At 40.0% G+C, this 10,455-nt stretch overlaps 1 annotated feature.

The window, feature by feature from the left end:
• Positions 9,955 to 10,249: a silencer, noted in NCBI's record as "tiled region #8796; K562 Repressive non-DNase unmatched - State 22:ReprW, and HepG2 Repressive non-DNase unmatched - State 24:Quies". NCBI's record gives its function as "represses a minimal TATA promoter and a strong SV40 promoter by Sharpr-MPRA in K562 cells, with weaker repression in HepG2 cells {active_cell/tissue: HepG2 | K562}" and the evidence as "EXISTENCE:reporter gene assay evidence [ECO:0000049][PMID:27701403]".

Below are 10,455 nucleotides of genomic sequence, written 5' to 3' on the forward strand. Positions count from 1 at the left end.
CTTGCCAATATAACTGGTTGAAGAGAGTTGCAATTAATTGATTAAATTGATAGGCAGCAAATGCAGAGATGCTGGTCTCTCAGGAAAGAAGTTTTCAAAATAATACTGAGACTTAAATCCAACTGACATTATTATTAACGATACTAATTATGAATAATACATTATATTTCTACCATGCTTTATTATTTATAAAGTTCTTTTACATGCATTATCTCATCTGCTATCACAACAACCTTATTAGATGGAGAGGAAGTGTTTCCATTGCATAGATGAAGAAACCAATAAGGCAAGGTTTAAGGTTACCTCTCATGCCACAAAGACAGCAAGTTCAGAAGATGAAGCTTACCCCCAAGTCTGATTGTTCCTGAACTGCAGCCAGCTCTCTCACTTCCATTCTCTTGTGGGGAGCATTCATATTTTATTATTATTATTATTATTATTATTATTATTATTATTATTATTATTTTAGATGGAGTCTTGCTTTGTCACCCAGGCTGGAGTGCAGTGGTGCATTCTCAGCTCACTACAACCTCCACCTCTCAGGTTCAAGCCATTCTCCTGCCTCAGCCTCCCAAGTAACTGGCATTACAGGCACGTGCCACCACGCCCAGCTAATTTTTGTATTTTTAGTAGAGACCGGGTTTCTCCATGTTGGCCAGTCTGGTCTCAAACTTTTGACCTCAAGTGATCCACCCACCTTGGCCTCCCAAAGGGCTGGGATTACAGCCGTGAGCCACTGCGACCAGCTGCATTTATATTTTAATGCACACAGCACAAAGTAGAAATTCAAAAGTGATTGTCAATGGCTGAATTAGAAGGATGGATTGCAGGCAGAAACAAATTGAGTGATCTGCAACAAGTTAACAGCGAGAATCAGAATCATCATTAAGGAAATTTCCGGCTGCATTTTTAGAAACAGGGAGAGTTAACTAATGTAAACTGTCTTTAAGTATTTATGGAAAATTGAATGATGGCAAATTTAAGTAATTTTTCTCAGTGATTTAAAACATCTTTTTCGGCTATGCGCGGTGGCTCACGCCTGTAATCCCAGCATTTTGGGAGACTTAGGTGGGAGGATTCATTGAGCCCAGGAGTTTGAGATAAGCCTGAGCAACATGATGAGACCCTCATCTCTACAAAATATTTTAAAAATTAGCCGGGCGTGGTGGCATGTACCTGTAGTCCCAGTGTTCGTGGGGTAGTTGGGGTAGTGAGGGGTGGGAAGGGGACTGAAGTGGGAAGATTGTTTGAGCCCGGGAGGTCAAGGCTGCCAGTGAGCCATCTTGGCACCACTGCATTCCGGCCAGCGTAAGCAACAGAGCAAGATCCTGTCTCAAAATGAAAAAAAAAAACTTATCTTTTTCTTTTTTTTTTTTTTTGAGACGGAGTCTCGCTCTGTCGCCCAGGCTGGAGTGCAGTGGCGCAATCTCGGCTCACTGCAAGCTCCGCCTCCCGGGTTCATGCCATTCTCCTGCCTCAGCCTCCCAAGTAGCTGGGACTACAGGCGCCCGCCACTACGCCCGGCTAATTTTTTGTATTTTTAGTAGAGACGGGGTTTCACCGTTTTAGCCGGGATGGTCTCGATCTCCTGACCTCGTGATCCGCCCGCCTCGGCCTCCCAAAGTGCTGGGATTACAGGCGTGAGCCACCGCGCCCGGCCAACTTATCTTTTTCAAAATGTGCATTATAAACTTTGATTGTTGCTGTCATCTAAAAAGATCTTTAATATGTCCATGACGTTTATTAATAGGTTCCATTCGTTTTGTTTACCCAGGCACTCTGTATATAGATTACCTGGTTTTACCCTCTCAATCAACCTATAAGTGGGAATTATTAATTGCATTTCATAGATAAGGAAGCTAGCTGTAGCTTGGAAGGGTTAACTGTCATTTCTCAGCTCCCACAGGAGAAAGTCATAGAACTGGGATTAGAAGAGAGCATTATCTTAATGTCTTTCTGCTGGGCCAGGTTTTGGGGCGATGGGAGCGGGGGAACATGTTCCTTAAAAACTTCTTCTAAAGGGCAGATGCAAAAATTATGGTTCTTAGTAGCAATAGCATTGACCACAATTCTTAGAAATATCTGAAATGTATTTAGAAAACCTCAAACCTTACTTGAAATTAATAAATACAAGGGGAAAGAATAAGACACACCTGGACAATTTCATCTTTTCCCTGTTCATTTAAAGCAATTGAATATGTGTGAGTTTAGTCCAAACTCTTGTAATTAATACTGAAAGTATTTAAGGTACCAGAATTTTAATTACATGTTCCCAGATTACCAATAAGTGTTGCAAATATTTTGTTATAAAAATGCATACACCTTCCCTAGTAAATGTGCTTGTTTTACCTGATGTGTAAAATTTAGAGGATCACCTAGGAGATTTTTAATGTTATGTTTATTGCATTGATAACCCTTTAAAATCTATTGTTTGTGTTATTGGTATCCTCCTTAAAAAGATATAATCAATGGAGTAATTTGGGTGTAGAAAGAATTAACATTGCTCAATAGAATTGTTCAAGACCAGTCCAGAGTCATCATCTCAAATATTGCTCAAGACTGAGCATAAAAGTATTGCAGGTGTTCTACAGCCACAAGAAAATATATAGAAGTGCATAGCCCTGTCCTCCAAAAGTTTAAATTTAATGAAAATAGAAAAGGAAAGCAGACCCAGCCATATGTTTAGTAGATCATTAGCCAGGCTCCAGAGAACGGGGTGGCATCAGGAAGACGAATGGGTTACTGTGAAAACTTTGAAACCCAGATTCCTTGAGAGGTAAATGCTGCCTGCCCCCTGTAGCCTGGTTGGTGAGCTCTTCAGCAGATGGCTGATTTACCTTTCTTATTTCACTCTTGCATTTAACCTAAAACAGGGAGAATTCTCAATTTCCAAACCAGATGTGCGTGACTGTTTAACTCCAGGAAAAAACACAAAGAAATAGCTGGTGCCTTCTCGTTAGGAGGCACTGTTACAGAGATGAGGACCGGGGTTTCTTTTTGTAGCTAATGTGACTTGTATTCTATTTAAAAGCATTGAAGATTCCTAACTTTGCTAAGGGAGAAAAGACCTTCCTTAGCAAAGACTTCCCTTTCCTCCCATGGAAAATTCTGCCAAAACATCCTCCCCGCTCCCTCTCAATTCACCTATAACATTTGTTACTAGAAAGAGCTGTGAGTTGGGGCCAACTCAAGAGTGTGGTGCTTTTTTCTTATGAATATGATCTGCCTCGGGAAATTTGCATACGCTTGCCTTCAAAGGAAGAGGAGGAATAATACATTTAATTAGCTCAGTGCACTTCTTGAAATGTATCTGAAAGCAGATGACAGATCTCCATAATCAAACTACCACCTACACTTGAATTTTACACTATTTTCTCAAAAGTGGTATGTACTGGTTTATAACTGTAGTTACTTATAAATACATGAAGTTATTTTTATATTGTTTTCTATGCTGGAGGTAGCTTTTGCCGATACATAAATTAGAAAGGGAGGTCACCTTTGGAAGGGAAAATTCTAATTCATTGCTGGAGAATTCTACACTAATTGCACAGAATAAATTTGTTTGTGTACTATCAACACCAAGAAGGGCTTCCGCTGGCCCAGCACATACAGCATTTTTACTTTTTTCCTTCAATTAACAGACTTTAATGTGTCATCCTTAGAAATAATGACAATTCTTCTGACCGCAAACTTTTAAAAATATTGTAAGGATGGTTTGAGTCTAGCATCCCACCATGTAAAATGTAACACTATACACAGTACTTCAAATACAGGATATCATACTAAAAATGTTACCTTCACTCATTTTACTTGCTATTTAAATTGACTGGTTTCCCCTCACAGTACTTTGTTAAGATTATTATTCTTTCAGACATAATAGCTACTATGTGCCAGATACCAGAGATACAAAAATACATAAGGCATAATTCCTACTCCTAAGACAGCAAAATTTAGTCCGGGATACAGATGTATAAATAATTACAGAGAGCTCTGAGATCCCAGAGGGAAAAGTGAGATATTCTTCTAGGGAAATGTTGAGAAGCCTTCATGGGGACTACCATCCTAGTGCAGTCCTGAAGATAAAGCAAAAATTCACAGGAAAAAGATAGGAAAAAAGCTATGACTGGGATTTTCTGGAATTGCTGTCTCTGTGAGGTTGGAACATAGGGCGAAGATGGGTGTTTATTAACATCACTTTGGATGTTGTTTTTAAAACAGAACTGCCATCCATTGGCCAGGTGTGGTGGCTCATTCCCGTAATCCCAGCACTTTGGGAGGCCAAGGTGGGAGGATCACTTGAGCCTAGGAGTTTGAGACCAGCTTAGGTAACATATGCTGTCTCTAATAAATAAAATAAATAAATAAATAACAAAAATAGAAAATTTGGCTGGGCAGGATGGCATGTGCCTGTGGTCCCAGCTGCTTGGGAGCCTGGGGCAGGAGGATTGCCTGAGCCCAGGAAGTCGAGCCTGCAGTGAGCTGTGATCATACCACTGTACTCCAGCCCAGGTGACAGAGTGAGTCCCTGTCTGAAAAACAAACAAACAAAAAGAACTGCCATCCATAGTCTACTAAATGTTACTTATGGGTTGACTATGCCTTCATTTTTAAAATAGACTTTAATAACTCATATTATTAAAATAAGAACTGTAACATCGTTAATAGGCAAAAGGCAGTGAAGAATAATTCCAAAAAATAAGCACTCAATTTAATAAATGTTAATGGGCAGTTAGTATTTTGATTTGTTTATAATAAACTTTATATACATGTGTATATTTATAATATTTAAGTATATTATGTTTATTTTAAATATATTTAATTCATAATTTATAATTTATATACTCATAATTTATATACACATAATTGTTTTATGCATAATATACCAAAATATAATGTAAAATAATATATAATCTGTAATAATAAAATATAATAAGTATATGATAAATAATATGTTATAAATACATAAAATCTGGGTCTTCTTTATTTGGCATCTACTGTATTCCAGGGTATGTTCTAGTCATCAGGAAAACAGAGGTAAACAGGGCAGATAAAATCCCTGCCTTCAAGGGACTTACATTACAGAGGGTTGTGGGCAACAAATAAATGTAATATAAAATAGGCTGGGCATGGTGGCTCACGCCTGTAATCCCAGCACTTTGGGAGGCTGAGGCAGGTGGATCACCTGAGGTCAGGAGTTCGAGATCAGCCTGGCCAACATGGTGAAACCCTGTCTCTACTAAAAATATAAAAATTAGCCAGGCAGGGTGGCAGGTGCCTGTAATCCCAGCTACTCAGGAGGCTGAAGCAGGAGAATGGCTCGATCCTGAGAGGCGGAAGTTGCAGTGAGCCGAGATCAAGCCATTGCACTCCAGCTCCATCTCCAAAAAAAAAGTAATATAAAATAAAATAATGTAAAGCTTAAGAGACTTGGGGAGATACTGAAGCATTAATTACAATAAAAAGTGTGTGTGTGTGTATGTGTGTGTGTTTCCTGGTGCTAGCTTTCCCTCTAGAATCACCCTAATCATTATAAGCTTTAAAAATACTGTGTGTGATAGATTTATCATCTCTCTAGTTTTCCTAAAGAATGCACTTTCCTGTGTTTATTATGTAAAATGTACATTTGAATAGCAGTATTAATGGTTTCCTTAAAGAGAGACAGACAATAAACTGCCATGGTGGTGAAGAGTAAAGATTCTAGAAACAAACTTCCTGGGCTCAGCTCTCATAGCGGAGTGATTTGGAGCAAGTTAACCTCTCCGCATCTCAAGTTCCTCATCTGCAAATAATAATAATAGTAATGCCCACCCACCTCATGGGGTTGTTCTAGTATTAAATAACTTAATATGTCAATTACTTAGAACAGTACTAAGTACATAATAAGCACGCAAAAATACCGCCTATCATTATTATTAAAATGTTAACAAACTTGCACATTAACAAGGCAGTGTTTGAAGTAAGTTCAAAGCTCAAAAAAATGTCATGAAAAACTATGACTTTCTCAGGCAGGAGTGGTGCTGGTGCACCTGTATCCCCAGCTACTAGAGAGGCTGAGGTGGGAGGATCACTTAAGCCCAGGAGGTGGAGGCTGCAGTGAGCCATGGTCATGCCATTGCATTCCAGCCTATGTGACAGAGCAAGACCCTGTCTAAGAAAAAAAAAAGGGGGGGGAATAAAAAGAAACTATGACTTTCTCTTGATCCACAATAGATACCACAAGTGGCATGATGTTAAAAAAGGAAAAAAAAAAAAAAGAAAAGAGAAAGGAAGGTAGAGGAGAAAGGAGAAAGGGAAGAGGAGGAGGAGAGGAAGAGAGACAGAAAATTTCCCAGAAGTAGGAAAGGGATATATCCTCTCCCACAGAGATTTAGAGGCTAGTCAACTTAGAGTTTGGGAGTTCTTCCCACAGTTACAATGCCACTCTTCTTGCGCTAATGAGTAAGATCATTACTCTTTCTGGTAATAGGCAAAGCAAACTATTTCCCACTTCCATCTACCCTGCAGCTTTTCAAATGCATTTCAGCTAGCCCTCTGCAATTAGCAATTGTTTCTCTAGTGGTTTTAAAGCTACTTGATCCTCTTATAGCACTTTATTTCTGTACATTATTCATACATATGTTGAGAAGCTAACATAATAAGGTGTTTGCTCAATTAAGCTTTCACTTAGTGAACTTTACTCATTCTAGTCAACAACTGTGTAGTTTTTTCTCACCCTGAGAGAGCTGAGAAGGCTTCACAGAGGACATGATATTTGAGTTGGGTCTTGAGAGACAAGAGCATGTCCATGAAAGGTAGAATATGCAAGTTCAGGAAGTGTGATAAGTTTTAGGGGATAGCATCTACAATGTTTAATATCATATTTCACTCATAACTGAATAGTATTAATACACAGGTCAACTTTTGCTAGCTGTTGCTACTGTAGATACATTTTCTTCCCCTCTTGCCACTACCTCCCACACAGACATGTACAAATAGATATTCACACACATTCATAAGCATGAGAGCTATGTTTTACGTTCAAATAGAGAAGCAGTGTTTAGTGAGGAAGAGACAAAACGTGAGGAAGAGAAAAGCATGTGAGAATCTAATTATCATTAAACTAGTTTTGTGCCCGTGGTAGAAAGAGGGGAGGATAGCAAACAACTATCTATTCAAGAGTCACCTGTGAGATTTCTGTGAGATGTTTAGTGTCACACTAAGCTCCTACTATAAAGAAAGTCTGATGAAGAAAACAGGCAATGCAGCACCCCGGCATAGGCAGACATTGCTCTTCTCCAAAGGGCCATGTTAGCCTTGAAGCTTCTCCAAGTGGTTTCAGGTGAGCAAGGACTGGACCAGAAGAACAGGTGAGATGCTAAGTGGTGACCACTGCAGGCAAATTAACGTATGTGGTGTGAGCACTTATGAAGCACCACACTGGAAACTCCTAGAAATGGGCCACATGTGATGGCTCATACCTGTAATCCCAGCACTTTGGGAGGCCAAGGCATGCAGATCACTTGAGTTCAAGAGTTCAAGACCAGCCCAGGCAATATGGCAAAACCCTGTCTCCACCAAAAATATAAAAACTAGTCAGGCATGGTGGCGTGCCCCTGTGGTCCCAGCTACTTGGGGGGCTGAAGTGGGATGATGGTATGAGCCCAGGAGGCAGAGGTTACAGTGAGCCGAGATCACAGAACTCCAACCTCGGTGACAGAGTGAAACCGTGTCTCAAAAAAAAGAAATTTCTAGAAATGGACAGGGGTGCACCTTTACAAGTTTTTAAATACAATGGTTAATTAAGAGCTTGTACTAAGAGTAGAAAGAATGTTGGTTCTGCAAGTCTATAGCCTTTATTCAACACATCTGCATGGTCTGTCATGTGCTCAGCACTGGCAGTACAGAGCAAAACAAATATCCCTGTCCTCAAGAAGCTTATATCAGAGCAGATAACAGATATAATAAATAGGTAAATTATAAGATATGCTAGAAGATGGTAAGTATTAGAGTAAAAAATAATAAAGCAGAATAAGGAGAATGAGAAATGCATCTCTCAGAGTGGGAGTTGAAATTTTAAATGAAGTTGCCAAGTGACCTGTGAGCAAAGACTTGAAGGAGGTAAGAAGAGAGCCCTGCCAAGAACGGAGGGAAGAACACATCAGGCAGGGGGAGCAGCCGGGGAAAAGGCTCTGAGGTGGAATGTGGCCAAAAGGCACTGTCTGTGTGTCTCAAGAAAAGCAAGGAGACCAGCATGGCTGGAGAAGAATAAGCTGGCAGGGGGTTGGAGGGTTGCAGCAAGGCGAGGCTACTACTCTTGTTCCCTTGTGCTTACGTTATTGGTATCTGTCAATATTTTTAGTTACTTAAATATTTTATAATGTTTGCTTTAACTAAATGTTGATCCTACACCCTATCTAATCCACTTACCCAGGCATACATAAATAGCAATACTTTGCAATAAGCCAAAAATAAACAAAGAATGAGGATGCCAATGCCACCGTCATTCTCTTCCGCATTGGGGAGCTATCATTCTTCCTTCAGGATCGATCACATTTTATATAAGTCAGGATCTTTCACATATTATGTATGATGACCATCTGACATCACATGGAGTGCAGGTGATGGCATCAATTTATAAACTGATATTAACAACACTTAATTTCTTATTTTTTATTAGAATAAAATATAAATATTAATACAAGTTCAAGTATGTTCCTCCAGCCCCCATTCCTCTCCCCCCAGAGATGTTGTGCACTCCTGAGGAAGATGAACTTCCTCGGGAACATCTGGACTAGAGAAGCCAAGGCTGAGTCTTCAGCTTAGGATGGGATGTGGGTTCTGGGAAACCCCTCTGGGCTCCATCGAGGGAGGGACTTTTCTATGAGTTGCAGAGAATGTGGGCCAAGAAAGTGATCCAAAAGGCACTGTCTGAGGAGGAAATTAATACAAAAGGGGACCATGTGCCCCAAAGAAGCTGTCGGTTCAAAAGAGCAGGACAAACATGGAAAAATCCAGGAAGAGATAATGAAATAGAAACTGAAAATAGGATTCAATTCTTTCTTGTGAGTTTTGAAAAAAAATCTAATCCCTGAAAGGTTCAGAGTTTAAAGGTTTTGCCAGAAACAACAGGTTTTGAGGAATCCTTGCTCAATCAGTGCCAGTTTCTACCCTGCTCCCTCTCATCCCCGCTCCCATTCCCAGATCAGCAGACCAACTTGTGCCTATTTGCTCCAAGTTTTCCCAGTTCTAGCAATGAAAACCTCACATCCTGGGAAATCTCTCAGTCTCAGGAAAACCATGGCAGTTGGTCACCCTACTCCCAGATTAAACAGTCCAAAGTTTTGAAATAGGGGGAGTGTCAGAAGAGAAGCAAAAGAGTTTGATGCTGATTAGGGTTTTGAAGTCTTTACCTAGGAACTGACTGGGACAACTCTGAATTGTCTGAGATTTCTTTCCCCATCATTTAGCATAATGGGACTCAAAATATGAATTAAATTCAATTGTAGAAAAATGCACTTATATTTCCTGCACACGTGAGTCTGTGACCTAAATTTCTCCATCTCTCTCTCTCTCTTAATTATACACACACACACACACACACACACACACAAACACAAACACACACACAGATCTGGAGGGAGTTAGTTGATACTGAGGACAATAACTTTTTACTCCTATGTCTCTGAATTGTTTAAAATTTTAGTACAATGAATTTATTTATCACTTGTGCCATTTAAAAATAAAAGAAAGAAAACATGTTTTTCCTGCAAGTCAGGAGGGCATATACCTATTTTATAGTGGACAGATCACCAAAAGACAAATAGACAGAATGAAACTATGAAAAAGACTCAACTTGAGAGAAGGGGAAAACCCAAGGAAAAGTGATCATTAGAATGTGACATGAACTAGAGAGGTAGAAAAAAGCTGAGTTTTTTCGTTTGTTTGTTTAGGTAAAGTTTCTGTAGGCTGATGGACTAGAAAGAAAACATCAACAACTTTTACAGTAGAGAAAAGCTTGAGTTTTGAAAAGCAGAGAATGAAGTGACTCAAAGACAACCTCCCATGCCCCTGACCCGCCTTGTGCTCAGCAGCCCTGGGGCGGCGCTGGATGCTGGACCAGCCCCTCCCTGAGCAGCCCTTCTCCAGACTTGCCTCCTCAGTCTGTCAGGCCCTTTTCTCTCTGGGCTCTTGCCTTTAGCAGTTTCCTAGCACCCCATGGGTTTAATTAGCAATTTGATGCAGACAGTCCCCAAAGCGCATCTCCAGAGGTGACCCTCTCTCCTGGGTCACATTCTTCATTTCGAATTCCCTGCTAGTATCCTGTCCTAATATGTCAAAAACAGAACCCATAATCCCCCTCATCTTCCTATTTCCATTTGTTGTTAGTGATAGTACTATCACACCCCAGCCATATAATTTTGGGTCAGAATCTCTTTTCTCCTCCTCCTCCCTTTCCCTGTTTTGTGCCATCAGTTG

The sequence above is a fragment of the Homo sapiens genome, chromosome 12, assembly GCF_000001405.40.
Source record: "Homo sapiens chromosome 12, GRCh38.p14 Primary Assembly".
Lineage (NCBI taxonomy): Eukaryota > Metazoa > Chordata > Mammalia > Primates > Hominidae > Homo > Homo sapiens.